Source organism: Homo sapiens, chromosome 5 (genome assembly GCF_000001405.40).
Source record: "Homo sapiens chromosome 5, GRCh38.p14 Primary Assembly".
NCBI lineage: Eukaryota > Metazoa > Chordata > Mammalia > Primates > Hominidae > Homo > Homo sapiens.
Window position 1 is genome coordinate 151617749 of NC_000005.10, and position 17826 is coordinate 151635574.

The following is a 17826-nucleotide window of genomic DNA, read 5'->3' on the forward strand; positions in this document are numbered from 1 at the left end:
GCCCTTCTCTCTCTGTCTTCTTTATGACAGTGCATCTATTAGATAACTACATGTCTGCATTGGGTATAAAATGGATATGTAATATCTGAGCAAGGGACTCTCCTATGAGTCAAGTACATAGTAGAAACCATTGCGGCTAGTCAGAAGCCTTTCTGTCTTCAGCACTTACTAGCTGTATGGCCCTGAGCAAGATATTTCTATGACTGAGTTTTCCAATCTATAAAATGGGACTAATAGTAGTATCTGCCTCATAAGGTCATTGCAGCTCAATGTAAAGTTACATGCAACTAAGCACTTAGCACACTGGATTGTAATCTTAGCTACTCAGTAAATATTTGTTTTATTCTTAGCTATTTTTTTAGTCTGAGTTTTGGATCAATGACATTGCAAGATAAGTACTTGACTCATTTTCAAAGAATGCTTTGAGCTACCTGCAAGTAATAGAAAATCCACTAACAGTGGCTTAAACAAATAGGTTTTTGTTTGTATTATATTGCAAGAAACACACAGGCAGACAGCTGTTGGCTTTTGTTCAGTAGCTCAGTGATATTAGGGCTGGTGTCACTGCAGTTCTTTTGGCTTCTGCCTCATAAACACAATATTGCTGCTGAAGCTCCAGACATCACACTCACTTTCAAGGCAGGGGAAAGGAGATGGGGTGATGCTGGCTATGTCTACATTCCCAGAAGCCCCATATGTTTTCTTTCCTAGCTGATTGCTCCTATGTTTCACAGTCTAGAACTAGGTCACACGGCCACCACCAGCTGCAAAGAATCATGAAAAACAAGAAACAGGGATGTCGTGATTAACTTTCACCACCATTCCATCTCTCCTGGGACTTAACACATTGTCTCTCCCTGCTCTCATTTCCCAACCAGGGTTTTTTTAGTGAGAAGGAGAAATGGATATTGGGTCAGTAACTAACATTGTTTGCCCAGTAATTATTATTTTTCTTTTTTTTTTTTGTCTTAATAAGGAATTTGATTGCAAGTGACAGAAACCCAAATCAGACTTGCTTAAGCAAAAATAAGGAAATGGATAGAAAGAAAAAGGGACCAAAGAAGAAAAGGAGACAATAAAAGAAATGAATTGACTCATATCCAGGGAGAGTTTGTCCTTAGGTCTAAGTATGAGGCCAAATGAGCAAACAGCGTTGTCAAGAGATCACCCTTCTCTGCTTTTTGGCTATTTTCCTTTGCATTTACTTAATTATCAGGTAGTTTCTCCTCACCTGGTGGTCCCTGGGAGCTCTAAGTTCACATTCTCCGAGGCTATTGTTCAGCTGAGAAAAGAGTGAGTCATTTCTCTCTGTCACTCAAGCAAAAGTCCCAGGATGAATATTGATTGTCTGTGATTGGGACACAAGCCCAACCCTGAGCCAATCACAGTGACCACAGGGAACTCATGCTCTGATTGGCAAAGCCAAGTCTCACACCCAACTCTGGAGCATAGGTTGGGTCCGTTGCCCCCAACCACTGGTTAAGCTTAAAGACTAAAGTAGACTGAACCCCTCCTGAAAATCAGGGGCAGAACCAGAGGGAGGGGAAATGGATGCAGAGCACATGTAGAGCTTTGCAGTCTTCAAAGTACATTATTCCACACAGACACCTATGAATTAGGGAAAGCAGGGATTCTGGCCCCATTTTGCAGTGGCAAAACTGTCTCAGAGAGGTGACATGATGTGTCCAGAGTCATTCAGCTCACAGGTAGTCAGAAAGAGTCCCCACGCCTCCAGGATCCTGGTGTTTCCCTGACACCACATCCTGAGATGACTGACAACTGGTCAACTCATGTATTGTCCAGGAGCCATGGAGCCATGTGACAAAGTAGCCTGAGGGACCCCCAAGAGACCACTGGTTCCACACTTTACCTCCATTGTTGTGTTAGAGCTTTATACCCTGTGAAGAGAGCAGGCCCAGAAATTGAGAAAACCTGCATTTGAATCCACCTAACTAGCTGCGAACCCAACAAATGTCTCTTTTCTGGGCCTCAGTTTCCCCACCTGCAAAAGGAGTTAGTTGGGCTCAGTGATACCTAAAGACACTTCTAGCTCCAGCTTGGCCACTGTCTCAGGTTCCAAGATTTCCCCACCCCTTGTGGTAGCTTCAGATTTCTTGCCTGGGGGAAGAGCCAGGGCAAGTTGCTGCAGTTCTGTTCTCTCCACACAGCAGAGTGGCGGCTCCCAGCCCAGAGTGGAGGCTTACCTAACCCCAGCAAGCTGAGCAAATCCCTGAGAACAAAAGGGGGAGAAGACCTGACAAGGGAGGGGAAGGAGTGAGTCTATTCCTTCCTTGCACAGCAACTTTAACCCCTTCCATGCCTCCCCAGCAGCAGGAGGGCAGGCAGGGTTTCCAGACAGGGGGTAATGAATGCATCTCAGGCATGCACGGGCTTCCAGGAACTGCTGTGCCACCAAAGCCAACTTTCCATAGGGGAGCCCTCCCTGGGAGCAGCCACAGCTGGAGATGCCATTTGTCCTTCATAGACCCAGACTCATGGCATCAAAGCCCCCCACCGCTCCACCCCCAACAAAAGCCAGAAGGGAGCTGCATTCCATCCTTCTGCCAGTCAGGAAGCTGAAGCCTAGAAATGGGGAGGAACTTGCCCAAGGTAACATAGCTTTCGACTCACAGGAAGGGGCCTCGACTAGGACAGTGCCAGACACAGAAATGAATAAAGTGTGTTCAATGACCGGAATCAAGGCCTCCCCACCTTGCGCTCCTTCCTCTGTGCATACTATATTGCCTTTTGGGATTCTTAAATCAAAGTTTCCATCCCCAAATTAGAAGCAGATTGTTGAGGCCTGTCCATAAATTCCTCACTTGAACCTGTAGTGACTAATTCTCTCGGGAGTGTGGGATCAAACCCACCATGGCTATTAAGAATTTAATATGAAGCCCCAGTGCCTGGGGCCGTGCTTTCTCATCAGCCCCGAAACAGGGCGAAGCCTGCATGTCAGGCGGGGCCAAGAATGCAAAGTCTGGAGTCCCTTTCCTGAGAAGCTTCCTGGGACAGCAGCCTTCCCTCTGGGGAAATTCTCAGGGGACCTTCTGAACAAGAAGTGTCTTTTTTCCTGCACCAGTCCTAATCATAGACAAAGTGGGAAGCCCCTTGGCAGAGAGAAGTCTGGATAAACACCACCTCCTGGCAATGTACCCTTGCCCCTAACATCTCCCACGTACAACTGACACTCCACCCTTCATGTACAACAGGCTCCCAGTCTCCAAAGGTCTTTGTGAACGCAGCGTGACCCACAGAAAAAGAAGCAGAGGTGGGGGGTGGTGGAGGAGGTTGGGGGAACAGATCCAGTCTATTGGTGAATTTTAAGCAATGAACATATTTTTGACCTGAGAAAGTGGTCAGAGTGCATCAAATTGAGAGCCTGGGCTCCTGCAGCCAGTGAGGGGGCAGAGGCCCAGGAAGAGGGCTCTGGGTGACCCGGGACAGCAGTGGGTGATGGGGCAAAGCTGTCTCACCTACTGGGCTTGGTTACTCATGGGACTGATGGGACTATCAGAGAGCATGTGGCTTGTGAACCCAGGAATGCCTTCTTGAAACAGCCTCCCATCCTTCCTGTGAGATCCCTGAGAGAGATGAAGCTTCAGGGACAATTTAGTGACTGAGTGCCACTCCGCCTGGGATTGTGTTAGGCACTTAATGTGACAAATAAAATACACACGGTTCCTCCCCTCAAGGGCAGTGACAGGTGAGAAATACGGAGGTCATCCTATTATTTCAGATGTGCCTGAATCCCAAAGTTGAGCTCTTTGGCAAACCAGAGCCCCACAGGATCCCCGGGCCGTGTTTGTAATTTACTAGACATGTACCAACTGCATCCCACATATCTGTCCGTCCCTCACAAGTGCATCTCACCCATCAGAGAGTGCTCACAGCTCTACCTCCGAGACACATGCCCTGAATTTCACCACTTCTTTCAGCCCCTCGCCCTACACCCAGTCACCACTTTTTCTTTCCTGGATGACTGTTCTTGTAGTCTCTTCTCCAAGGAGCAGCCAGAGTGATTTGCTCTAAGATAGTAAGTCACTCTCCTGCTAAAACCCTCCATGGACTTCCCATGGCCCTTAGTGGGAAACGCACACTCCCTACCATGGCCCCTGGACAAGACTTTCGCCATCTGTCTCCTGCCCACAGGACGTCCTTCCCCTCCACTTTGCCCCTTATGCACACGCCTTCTTTCCACTACAAGAAGATGACGCACTTGTTTGTTTCCCTGGGTCTCTGAAATTGTTGCTCCTCCTTGGAATGTTTGCTCCCAGCTTCCCATCCTTCAGATTTCAGCTCAAAAGTCACTTCCTCGCAGAGGTCCTCCTTGACAACACTAACCAAACCCCTGCATCACTCATTGCCCATCATATTCCCTTACTTTTATGTGCAGAGCACTTATCAATAACAGAAATCATCTTATTTCTTTGTGTGTATGTTTACTGCCTGTCAGTCTCCTCCCGCCATGCCCCTTGAGGTTCGTGTTTCTCTTTTATTTCCTTACTACTTTCTACTTAGCACCCAGAGCTCAGTGCATAGTAGAGTCTCCAAACATCTTTGTGGCCTCATTCATTGACTAGCACAATGCTCAGACATCAAATATCCATGTGAAAAGAGCATAGAGATTGAATCCATCTACTCACTTGTCAGAGGGGAAAATGGAGATTCCAAGAGGGACTGGGACTTGCCCACAGCCATACAATTCCTTCATTTATTCATATCAGCTGATACATGCAGGATAAGAAGGAGGTATCCGTTTGAAGATATGGGGGGAAGAGCTAGTGCAAAGGGCCTGAGGCACGACCTTTACGGGAAAGCAGGCAGGAGGTGAGTGTAACAGAGCAATCCAAGGAGGAGAGGTGTGAGGGGAGGTGGCCAGGCAGGCAGAAGCCAGGCCATGCATTCGCAACTTGGATTTAGTTCCCTCTAAACCAGGGGTGTGAATTTCTCTGCCCACTTGTGTAAGATGCTCAGACAGCATGGGACCTGGGAGACTAGTTGGGCACCCATAAGAAGCCAAGAGTGAAGATCCTGTGGTTGAGCAAGTCCCATGGGTGTGTTTGCCAGGACATCAAAGGTGCTGCAGGCAGCGGCAGCCGCCTGTCTGAGCTCCATTACCGTGTGGGAACTGCACAGGACCCACCCAGTTAGTATGAGTGCAGTACTCGCTGTGCAATTACGGCTGCTACTGCTGGCTGACCACGTGCCAAATCGCTGCACAGTTAGTTACTCATGCCACAGGCTTTGGACCAATTAAGTGAGCAAAGAGGGTGGTTAACGAGGAGTAAACAATCCAAATGCCCATGATTACACTGAGGCTTTGCTCTAATGCATCCAAGCCAGGAGATGAGGATGGGCAGCAGGGAACATGGGGTCTCCTGTCCTTTGTTTTGTATGGTTGGCCCACTGAAATCTCTTTCACCCAGCCCACCCTGTCCCATACTCTGCTATCACTGTCTGCTGATTATTTTTTTCTTGTCTCCTCCCCTCGCTTTTTTTTTTTTTGGTGGAGGGGCGTGTGTGTGCCAAGTTCTAAGCACTGAGATTACAGCAAAACAAAGCAGCACTTATGGAACTGACATTTTAAAGTCAAACAATCAGGTAAATCAATATGATGCATCAGGTGGTAATACATGCTATGAAGAACACTGATGCTGGGTAAGAGGAATAGAGAGCTCTCAGGGCATGGGTGCTAATTCATATAGTGAGTCTAGAGAAGGCCTTTTTGGGTGAGTGCAGTGGCTCCTGCCTGTAATCCCAGAATTTGGGGAAGCTGAAGCAAGAGGGTCACTTGAGCCCAGGAGTTTGAGACCTCCTGGGCAATATAGCACGACCTCATCTCTACAAAAAATATATGCTTTTTAAGGCTGGGTATGGTGGCTCCCACTTGTAATCCTAGCACTTTGGGAGCCCGAGGCGGGCAGATCACTTGAAGTCAGGAGCCCAAGACCAGCCTAGCCAACATGGTGAAACCACACCTCTACTAAAAATACAAAAAAAAAAAAAAAAAAATTAGCCACGCGTGGTGGCACGTACCTATAGTCCCAGCTACTCAGGGGGCTGAGGCAGGAGAATCACTTGAACCCGGGACACAGAGGCTGCAGTGAGCTGAGATCTCGCCACTGCACTCCAGCGTGGGTGACAGAGTGAGACTCCATCTAAAATATGTATATATATATTATATATATATATATGTTAGCTGGGCATGGTGGTGCATGCCTGTGTCTTAGCTATATGGGAGGCTGAGGCAGGAGGATTGCTTGAGCCCAGGAGGGTCAAGGCTGCAGTGAGCTATGATCACACCATTGCACTGCAGCCTGGGCAACAGAGTGAGGCCCTGTCTAAAAATAAAAACTTTTTTTAAAATAAAGGTTTTTTTGATAAAGTGACACTTGAACAGAGACCTCTCTGAAGGAAGTCAGGGAGCCAGCCATGCAGTCGCTGGGGAAGGGCATCGCATGCAAAGGGAATGGCCGGTACAAAGGCCCTGAGATTTCTGTTTGCAGGGGTAGACCAGTGTGACTGGAGCAGAGTTAGCAGTATCGTAGGATGATTTGGGATTATACAGCTACAGGGAAGGATGAGGGCAGGTTCCAAGTATGGAGAACAGCATTCTCGAAAGCCTCCAGCGATGACAAGTGCTTTCTGTTTTTCAAAGTATTTTACCTCATTTGATCCTCAGAACAATACTGTAAGGGTAAGAAGGATAGATTTCTTTTTCTATTGACTGCTGAGGACCGAAGCTCTAGAATGTCTAACAGTTCAGCCAGGATCACATAGGAATATTCCGATTCAGAGGCAGAAATCTGTGGTCTGCACTATGCTTTCAGGTCAGATTAGAGGCTCATTCCTTTTGACACCATGCCATTGTGAGCTTCCAAAACAAGATCCGCTCTCAGGCAAGCCTCTGAATGGGTTACAAAGTTCAAAATGGAGCCAAGCACAAGAAGAGTTGCCAAGAGTGATACAGAACGCTCTGTGGGGAGCTGGTGTGGAAAATCAGCACACCCAGCGCCTGTAGTAATTTAACCAATACAGCAGAAAAACGTAGCTTGCGTGTCTTTCGAAGAAACCTTTACAGAAACCCTGAAAAGCTAGAATCCTCCCTGTGTCTGATCATAATTTAATATTTCTGGAATAAAATCCTTCTAGAATATATGTCCTTTAGAATTCCTCCAAGAAGCTTCCTATGGAGCTCCAGATAAAGAGGACAATCTAAAAGTTAATATGAAAGATTAAATTAAAAATGCCATCCAGAAAACAAGATTCCCCTGCAAGGGACGCATATAACAGATTTTGCAAATGTGTGGTAGATCTTACTCCTGCCATCAGCACCTACTGAATTCCCGATGCTATTGTTATCGTCATTTTCACTACTTAGTTTCTAGTGGCCACAACATCAACTGAGAGTGACTTGATGGGCTGTCACCAAATTTGGAAGGAATGTTTGCAAACATTTGTATAAATGTAGGAAACAAAATTTACTTTGCAGGGCTCAGGTGGGAGTGCGTCCCAAATTGCGAGGGAGTCATCTTAGACACTGGAGGGGCTGCTGACCAAGAGAGGCCTGCCATAGCTCTCAGGAAGCTGTAGAAAGTGAAGTACAGAGATAGATTCAAAATTTAAGTCCCATATTGCAAGTCACAAAGACAGATGCTCTGAATCACCAGCACTGATTTTCGAGGGAGCTGGTTCTGACACGGGCTGCTCTGTGCACAGTCCAGAAATCTATGACTTCATCATGTTAATGAGACTGGCAGTCAACGCTGGGACCACACCTCAAGTGGGCTTCTCCTGGAGCATTAGCTCCCACATGCCAAAGAGCGGGGAGCGTTTCCCTTTAGGCTTATGCGGCAGTTCTCAAGCCACTCGATCTCAGGACCCCTTTACACTCTGTCTTTATCAGGAATCGAAACTGAGAAGATGGCCGGGTGCGGTGGCTCACACCTGTAATCCCAGCACTTTGGGAGGCGGAGCGGGGGGGTGCGCAGATCACCTGAGGTCAGGAGTTCAAGACCAGCCTGGCCAACATGGCGAAACCCCATCTTTACTAAAAATACAAAATTGGCCAAGCATGGTGGTGCATACCTGTAGTCCCAGCTACTCGGGAGGCTGAGCCAGGAGAATCGCCTGAACCTGGGAGGTAGAGGGTGCAGTGAGCAGAGATCACGCCATTGCACTCCAGCCTGGGCAACAAGTGCGAAACTCCATCTCGAAAGAAAAAAAAAAAAAACTAAGAAGAGTGTTCTAAATATTTACGTGGTAGTTTACATACTGGGTACAATTGTATACTGCTTGGGTGACGGTGCACTAAAATCTCAGACATCATCACTATACAGTTCATCCATGTAACCAAAAACCCTTGTTAGCCCAAAGTTATTGAAATAAAAATAAATAAACAATAAATAATAAATAAATATTTATGTGGTAATTTATTTAAAAATAACAATAAGCCCACTACATGTTTCACATAATCATAGTATTTTCTTTTTCTTTTTGGAGACAGGGTCTGACTCTGTCACCCAGGCTGGAGTGTGGTGGCACAATCATAGCTCACTGCAGCCTTGACCTCCTGGGCCTGAGCCATCCTCCCACCTCAGCCTCTCGAGTGGATGGGGCTACAGGTGCACACCACCACGTCCTGAACAATACTTTCGAAGTAAAAAAAATCGTAAGTGTGGCGTTGTTTTACATGTTTGCAAATGTCTTAAACAGACACCTGGATTCTCCTAGCTGCTTATTATGATATCATAAGGATGCAGCCTCTGGAAAATGCCACTGAGCACTCGGGAGAGCATGAGAGCAATACGGTAAATGTGTTCTTGGTAACTATCATGAAAAATATTTTGACCTCATGGACCATGTACAAGGGTTATGAGACCGTCCCGACAGGGATCCCCAGACCACTCCATGAAAACCTTAGTATAATGGTGGAAGCCAAATTGTTGGGGACTTTGGGCATATTGTTAAACCTCTTCATGCCTCAATTTTCTTGCCTATAAAATGTAGATAGTAATAACTGTCCTCATAAGGCTCTTGTGACAATAAAATGACTTAATATGGGTAAAGTGCCTGACACATAGTAACAGCTCAATAAATGCTGGCTAGTATTATGAACCGCTCAAGAGCCAAGTCCATGGGTTCATTGTTCCCCCAAAGCAGAGAATGGGGAAGGCGTGCAGGAATCTTTCAGGAATAAGTGCAGGCACATGTGAACAACTCTCTCAGTGAGAGGACTTTCCTAGGACAGGGAAAAGTCTTTTTTTTTTTTTTTTTTTTGCCCCTATTAAATAAGCTAAACAGATCAGAGAGGCCATGTGACTCATCAAAGTCACTCAGCGGGTCCTGTGTGTAGCTGCTGTAGCTGAGAATGGCCCTCCCGCACCTCCCCACCCCACACTACCCTCTGCATCCAAACTCATCCGAGCACACTAGGGATGGAGGTCCTGGAGCATCGATTTTGTCCTGTTGTGGAACATACCTCATGTGCAGTCTCAGGGGCCAAACGAGGTCTACAGAACGCTGTAGCTTAAGACATCCAAGCTCTCTCCTCCCTCTGTCATGCCATCTAGAACACACTTCTAAATTGTAATTACATACTAACTTATGTGATTACTCACTGACTTCCCCTCCTTAGTCCTGGGACCCTCTCAGTCTTTTTGGTTTCAATGGCTGTCATGTCAGGGATGTGGCAGAAACTCTATCAATATTTAGATGTCTGTTTTAGGAAAGAAGGAAGAAATAAAACCATGTGTTTTCATTGATGAAAAGAAAGCAAGCAACAGACAGCTGAATGTTTTCTGTAGATAATTAGGTGTTTGAGATAGTGCAGAAAGGAGGAGAGTACGGTAAAATGTTAAAACAGAAAATCAACCAAGAGTTAAGGTGTTTGTCTACCAAGAGTGCTGGTTCTGCTTAGTTTTAGAAACAATAACAACAATGATAAGGACAAGAAGGGCTCACGGTTACTGACAGCTTACCGTGGGCCTGGCATGGCGCTAAGCATTCTGCATGTATCGTCTCACTGAACGCTCCTTATCTGCTGTGATGTTATTTCCATTTTACACAGTGCTTGAATGACTCCAGAAGTCCCACAGCCAGTGAGTAACACAGTGCATCATGGAGGTGGGTCATCCTTGGAAGGCCTGGGGCATGGAATACAAGCTGGAGAAGGTGGAAGGAGGCTGGGATGAGATGGTGGCAGGTTGAGGTGCCAGGCAGAAGAGTAGGCCTGAGTGCAGGTGCTAGAAGTTCAGCGTTTCTGGGGCTGGGCACAGGTGAGCAAGATAAAATGCTGCTGATTTCTTAATTGTGGCACCAGACACTGACTGGGGCACCAGGCACAGAGCTGGAGCACACCATATTTTATAAAAAGAAATACTAAGGCTCAGAGGGAGAAAAGGCCTTGCCCAAGGTCACCCAACAAGTTAGAGCCCAGCCCAGTCTTGCTCCCAGTCCAGGGATTTTGGCACTGCAACAAGTGCCCCTCTTCTGACTAACAGACTCACACGCTTCCCCCATGGCAGGCTCCCCTGGTCCCTGGCTCCCTGCAGAGAGGATGGCGTGGGAAGGGAGCAAAGCAGCAGGCTTCATTCCAGGATTCCCCTCCCAGGGCAGGAAGGAGAGGGCTGTGGGGCATGACCAGGCCTGCTGTGGCTGACTAGGGGTTCTCCACCAGCCCCCCAAACCCAGAACAAAGCAAGGTTAATGAGAGCAAATTACAAAGGCTCTGAAAATGGAAGGGACCCTTTGAAGGCTGCAAGGGTGAGAGCTGGGGTGGGACCAGCCTGCTGTCTCTGTCCTCTTGTGCAATGCGCTTCCCCCGGGAACAAGCTGGCACAGGACGGTGCTCACAGAAACATCCATCCCTGTGGTCATTGCTGGAACTCTGGTTGGGCTTCTACTCTGAATTTTTCTACATTCCAATTGCCAGAAAAATGAAGATTTCTGATTGCAGACAGCTCAGCAGAGTTCCCCAGCCATTCCAAGACTTGGGGCTTAAAGGAGATTTGCGGGGAGGAGCTCCACCACACCCAGAACCTCTGGAGAACAGATTAAGGCTCTGAGCATCGCTGTTGATCATCTCTGCATTGGTTCACTTTTCTCTTTGTGGTGAGGGGTGGATATAGTAATATGCACTGACATGTATGATTAAGTTCTTAGTCTGATACTAGCACAGTGCTAAGGGGCTATACACCTTAACTCTGACAATAAGCCTATGAGATGGGAATCATCAAATTACCCCTTTGGGTGGCTTAGAGCAGTGGTTATCAAAGTGCCTTCTTGGACTAGCAACATGAGCATCACTTGGAAATGTGTTAGAAATGCAAATTCCCAGGTGCTATTGCCTTAGAGAGCATAAGAATCTCCCCCAAGTTGCATAGCAGCAAGTGGCAGCCCAGGACTGCCCCAGGACCCACACTTCTGCCCACTAGTCACTGCTGCCTGTGTCTGTGGGCCCTGTCTCCCTTTCACAGGGGTGGGTGAGTGATCATGGGCTGAGAGAGGCTGAAAGGAATACAAAAGAACAGCACATTCACTACCATACTCTTTGTAATTAGAAAAGACTGGGGCCCGGCACAGTGGTTCATGCCTATAATCCCAGCACTTTGGGAGGCCAAGGCAGGAGGATCACTTGAGCCCAGGAGTTCAAGACCAACCTAAGCAACATAGCCAGACCCTATCTCAATAAAAATTAAAAAAGAAAAGATTGGAAACAGCCTAAACCAGCCCTAGGCTGGTTAAATAAACTATGGGGTGTTCATGTAATGCAACAACTTTTTACAGAAAAAGAGTAGGAAAGCTTTTTATAGATACTATGAAATGGTCTCTACAATGGAGTATTAAGTAGCAGAAAGCAAAGTGTAGAACACTGAATATAGGAAACTACCATTTGTATAAAAAAAGAGACAATACGTAAACAAATTTGTTTATATGCAAATACACACACACACTGAAAGACAATTCAAAGAATTGGCACACAGAGACTTCCTAGAGTTGACTGTGCAGAGGGATGTGAGGAGGACCTCTCATATGTGCCTTGGTACCTTTTGCATGAGTTACCTACTCAAATGATAAATAGAGTACGATTCAAAAGAAGAAGAAGAAAGAAGAAGGGAGAGGAGGACCAGCCTGAGGGCTTAAAAATGCCAGACATTGGGCTGAATTCTTACATGCATCATCTCCTTTAATCTCCTCAACAACCCCTAGAGTTGATTACTATTATTAGTCCCATTTTGTTGACATGGAAACAGAGGCACAGAGAGGCTAAGTGACTTTCCTTGAGTACAGAGCTATTGAGTGGAAGAGCTGGGATTTGAACCAACATATGTGTGACTCCAGAGCCCAAGCTGTAAATCACTGTATTACTTTATATGTGTGAGTTAATTTCATCCTACCAACTCTCTTTGAAAGAAGTGATGGTTTTCCCCTTTATAAATAAGAAAATAGAGGCCCAAAGGGGTTATGTGGCTTGGCCAAGGTCACATTGCTGAAGCATGACCAACCAGGAAGAGAATCCCTAGAAAGGATGTACAATTGCTGGGGTCTGTAGCTGCAAGTTCTCACTAGAAGAGAACCCTTCTCAATAGGATAGAGGGGAAAGGCTGTTGTCCTGTGTAAAGGCAGGGACCATCATGTCAGCTGATTGCCCAGTTTCTGGCATAGCATCTGGTACATGCTGAGCACCTGAAAACTTTGGAAGGAAGAGAGGGAATGAGGAAAGGCAATGCTGACCAGTGGCCACCCCTGGAAGGAACTCTGTAAGTCAGCTAGGCCAGATGGACAAACTGCAGCCTAGAGATGGGGAGGGGCTAACTTAAACTGGTCGAGTAAGGAGGTTTGTTTGTTTTTTTGTTTGTTTGTTTTTGTTTTTTGTTTTTTTGGGACGGAGTCTCACTCTGTCACCCAGGGTGGAGTGCAGTGGCATGATCTTGGCTTACTGCAACCTCCACCTCCCGGATCCAAGTGATTCTCATGCCTCAGCCTCCTGAGTAGCTGGGACTACAGGCACGCACCACCACTCATGGCTCCTTTTTTTGTATTTTAAGTAGAGATGGCATTTCACCATGTTGGCCAGGCTGGTCTCGAATTCCTGACCTCAGGTGATCTGCCCATCTTGGCCTCCCAACGTACTGGGATTATAGGCGTGAGCCACTGCACCAGGCCCAGTAAGGAATTCTGAAGAGAGTGGACACAAGGGCAGATAATATTTTTTAATGACCTACTTACAGGCTGGGAACGGTGGCTCACGTCTGTAATCCCAGCACTTTGGGAGGCTGAGGCGGGCAGATCACCTGAGGTCGGGAGTTTGAGACCATCCTGATCAACATGGAGAAACCCCATCTCTACTAAAAATACAAAATTAGCTGTGTGTGGTGGCACATGCCTGTAATCCTAGCTACTCGGGAGGCTGAGGCAGAAGAATTGCTTGAACCTAGGAGGCCGAGGTTGCGGTGAGCAGAGATCGCGCCATTGCACTCCAGCCTGGGCAACACGAGCGAAACTTCGTCTCAAAAAAAAAAAATGACCTATTTACCTTGGGAAATTTTCGTGATTTCCTTCTGTCTCCCTAACAGAGATGGAATGGGACAGGAACTGGCCAATTTTGATTGGAATGAGAAGAAATATCCATCCCAAGGTTAAATTCAGTGGGGAGGAGGGTCTTTCAGCAGCTGTTGAGGTAACAGGGAGGCAGTGGATATAAGAAGGCAGCTGAGATATAAAGGAGAGGCCAGTGGATTCGAAATCAGGGGATCTGGGTTCTAGTCTCAGCTCTGCTTTGTACTAGCTGGGTTATGTGAGCAAGTCACTTCCCCTCCCTGACCCTTACTGTCTTCATCTATAAATAGCAGAGTTATCGTGGGACACAAATAAGAATACAGAAAGCATGCATAAAGTATGCCGGGCCCTGTGGCTCATGCCTGTAATCTCAGCACTTTGGGAGGCTAAGGCTGGCAGATCACCTAAGGTCAGAAGTTCGAGACCAGCCTGACCAACATGGCAAAACCCCATCTCTACTAAAAATACAAAAATTAGCTGGGCATGATGGTGCGCACCTGTAATCCCAGCTACTCAGGAGGCTGAGGCAGGAGAATCACTTGAACCTGGGAGGCGGAGGTTGCAGTGAGATGAGATCGTACCACTGCACTCCAGCCTGGGCAACAAAGCGAGACTGTCTCAAAAACCAAACCAAAACAAACAAAAAAAGAAAGCATGCATAGAGCAAATGTTAATATGGGGAGTTATTAAGGACACACAACAACAGTACTGGTGACAAACTGCGCTGAACGACTTGCCTGTCGCATCAGCCATTCTCTTGATTCCAAATGTAGTGCGGAGCTGAGTCCATGCCGGTCTCCTCCACTTGTTGAAGGGGAATTAACTGTCTGGGCTCCCTATGAGGCTTTTGCTGACCTTCCTTCCCCCAGGGCAGCACTTACCATGTTCCTTGCTTAGGTGTCTGCCTCTCTCACTGACAGCTAATTGAGGGCAGAGACCATGCAGTGTTCCTCACTTAATTCTTAAACCAAGGACACAGTGGGAGAGATGGAGGGAAGGAAGGAGACATGGATGCATGGATGGATAATGGACAGTTGAATATTTTCAGCATCCAGAGGAAAGATAATTCTGATGCTGGTAAGTTAACACTTCTTAGAGAAAATCTATTTGGACTGAGACTTAAAAGAGTAGGTAAGGTTTCAGTAGGGTGAGATCGAGAGGTTAGAGAGGAGGAAGGTGGTTGGGTAGGTGAGAACAGCCTGAGCTCAGGCACAGGGCAGGAAAGCTCAAGGCATCGGGCAGTCATGGGCAGTGGTCTGGGGTCGACGGATCGGAAAGAGGGCTGTGGCCCGCTGCCGCTGGAAAGGCAGGTTTGAGCCAGGTTGTGGCAGGCCTTGAAAATTGAGCAAAGTGTCTGGACTCCTCCATCCTGCAGGCAACAGGGCGCCACAGAAAGTTTTGTAAGAGAGAAGTGACCTGTTCTGCCCTGTGCTCGCTGGCGGCGTGTGGAAGGGCGGGCACCGGGCCAAGGCCAGCTCGGGGAGGAGGTCTCACCACTTGCTGCTCTCTGCCGGGCTCTCCTGAAGAGCTGCTCAGGATCAGGGCGAGATGTGGGAGGCTGTGGATCCTCCTGCAGGGAAGGCTTCCCCTTCAGAAATGGCTGGATTGGACAGCAAGCCTTCCAGGCCTGCCTGCTGGGCATAGACCCATGAGGCCAGACTTACCCTCCGCATTCCCCAGAGCACCCTCAGCAGCACTGCCCCAGTTGCCAGGAAGTGCCTTAGCTCTGGGTTAAAGTCCCGGCTCTTCCACGGACCCTGGGGTTTGGACTAGTCCCTGTGCCTCTCTCGCAGCCCCTGTGTTTCACAACTTCAGGAAGTCCCATTCACACGGGAGACAATGAAACAATGTGCCCAGACTTGTGCAACCCAGCGGTCCTGCTTCTAATAGCAATTTCCTTGGCTGTACCGAAAGGAGGACGAAGGTTGGTGTGGATCACCTCTGCAGGCCACTCCAAGTCTCAATTTATAGCAGTCTGAGCAAAATGATGGGCTTTGGTAGGAGGTAGGGGGCCAGGGCCTTTGTCCAGTGCCAGAGACAGTGGTAGAGAAGGTCTAGGGGCTGGAGGATGGCCAAACCCCCAAAGCAACCGTGACTCCCTCCTCCCAGGGTGAGACCTGGATTTGTGTCTCTGACCCATCCCTACTCAGTTTTGCAACCATGTAGAATCTCACCCCTCTAGCCAGGTTTTCCATGAATGAACCAGGGAAAAGAAAAAATACCCCTCCTAGGGCGATAGTGAGCATTAAAAGAGCTTATGCATGTCAGGCACTTAGCAGGGTGCCTACACCAAAACTGCAGCTCAGGAAACTTTAGATCCACCAGGATTTTTGTTTTCTTTTGTAAAACAACTTAAATGTATCTGCTTCTGGGCATTCTTACCTTGACCTACCTCAAGATCACAATAAAGCCCTCCAGGGATGGCCCCAGAGCAGAATTCGCTATTTGCTGAAAGCTCGAAAGGGGTTCTGGGGTGTGCGAAAACGGAGAGCAGGACACCTCTCTTCCCACAAACAGAATGACCCCAACCTTCCGATGAACCCGTTCTTCTAGAGGTGGACATGGCAACCCGAGGAATCTGGCCAAAGTTTCAGTTATAGAAATGAAGCTGTGATTATTAAATTTCAGGTAGGATATGGTTTATCTTCCTGGCCCCTGGAGTCAGGCTCTGTGGGTGGCATATACAGCACCTGGTTGCTGCACTAGCCCCAGCCCAACTTTCCATGGAAGGATGAGAAGAAGCCAGCAGGGAAGACTACTCAGGGCCTGGGTGTTTCCAGCTGTCACCAGGAAGCATCTTGCAGAGGAATGGAGTTAAGCTCTGCCCCGCCCTGCCCTGCCCAGGCTGCTGGGATGGAAGGAAGGGCCAGGTGTGTGCCCTAGAGAGAGGGGAGAGCCCCATCTGAACTCTGGAGATTGTTAGAGTATGGAAACCAGCAAGCAAAATCCACTAGGTATGGCTCCTCAGAGTTGTATGTATTTTCAAATTTTATGTGTTTTTTACATAACTAGAAAAAATAACATTATATATTAAAAAACAGCTGGGCGTGGTGGCTCATGCCTGTAATCCCAGCACTTTGGGAGGCCAAGGTGGGCAGATCACAAGGTCAGGAGTTCAAGACTAGCCTGGCCAACATGGTGAAACCCCGTCTCTACTAAAAATACAAAAATTAGCCAGGTGTGGTGGCACGTCCCTGCTACTCGGGAGGCTGAGGCAGGAGAATTGCTTGAACCTGGGAGGCAGAGGTTACAGTGAGCCAAAACTGTGTCACTGCACTCCAGCCTGGGCAACAGAGTGAGACTCCATCTCAAAATAAAATAAAATAAAATAAAAACCAATATTAGGTTAGTCTGAAACTCAAAACACATAATCTCTAGTCCTGACTCTGCCAGCAACTTTCTATGTGGTGCTGAACAAGTTACTCACTCTCTCTGGGCCTCAGTTTCCCCAGCTGTACAGTAAGTATGGATTCCTTCTTGTTCTAACAAACTGTACCTGTCAAATGGATGCCATCATTAGGGTGGTGAGATTATAGATGCCTTTGCCATTTACTTTTTATTTTCTATTTTCCACACTTCTTAAAAATGTCCTAGTTCTTTTTAAAGTACAGTGTAATGGTAATTTGGCCACAACTTTTATTGTGATGAAGGAAAGAAGGAAGAGAAGGAAGGAGGGAAGAAAGAAGAATTTTTTTTATTTGTTAGAAAGGCAGCCACTGAAAAATCATCTCTCCTCCTGCCCAGCAGGAAGCAAACCCCATAATCCAGGTAATTTGATAAATATGGGAACATAGAGGGACCCTACACTTCAGTCACCCAATGGGTCACCTGTGTAATTCTGTCATTCCAAAAGCCCAGAGCCTTAGAATTCTAGAAAGCCAGAGCTGATCAGCCTTACAAAGATCATGTGGTGTCCAGTTGCCTCCCCTACATAGTAAAGTCTTAGTGAGAGGTGAAGCCAGCTGGACTTCCTGGGTCCGGTGGGGACTTGGAGAACTTTTCTGTCTTACAAGAGTCTTATAAAATGCACCAATCAGTGCTCTGTAAAAACGTACCAATCGGTGCTCTGCAGCTAGCTAGAGGTTTGTAAAATGCACCAATCAGTGCTCTGTAGCTAGCTTGAGGTTTGTAAAATGGAGCAATCAGCAGGACATGGGCAGGGACAAATAAGGGAATAAAAGCTGGCCACCCCCTCAGCCAGCAGTGGCAACCCGCTGGGGGTCCCCTTCCATGCTGTAGAAGCTTTGTTCTTTTGCTCTTCAC

The 17826-nt window shown here is 47.3% G+C and overlaps 3 annotated features.

Moving 5' to 3' along the window:
* Window positions 1661–2339: an enhancer, noted in NCBI's record as "H3K27ac-H3K4me1 hESC enhancer chr5:150998970-150999648 (GRCh37/hg19 assembly coordinates)". NCBI's record gives its function as "activates a minimal SCP1, AML or CMV promoter by ChIP-STARR-seq in naive H9 embryonic stem cells {active_cell/tissue: H9 hESC(naive)}" and the evidence as "EXISTENCE:reporter gene assay evidence [ECO:0000049][PMID:30033119]".
* Window positions 2340–3016: an enhancer, noted in NCBI's record as "H3K27ac-H3K4me1 hESC enhancer chr5:150999649-151000325 (GRCh37/hg19 assembly coordinates)". NCBI's record gives its function as "activates a minimal SCP1, AML or CMV promoter by ChIP-STARR-seq in naive H9 embryonic stem cells {active_cell/tissue: H9 hESC(naive)}" and the evidence as "EXISTENCE:reporter gene assay evidence [ECO:0000049][PMID:30033119]".
* Window positions 6450–7649: an enhancer, noted in NCBI's record as "BRD4-independent group 4 enhancer chr5:151003759-151004958 (GRCh37/hg19 assembly coordinates)". NCBI's record gives its function as "activates an origin of replication core promoter dependent on BRD2, P300/CBP, MED14 and CDK7 cofactors, and independent of BRD4, by STARR-seq in HCT116 cells {active_cell/tissue: HCT116}" and the evidence as "EXISTENCE:reporter gene assay evidence [ECO:0000049][PMID:35650434]".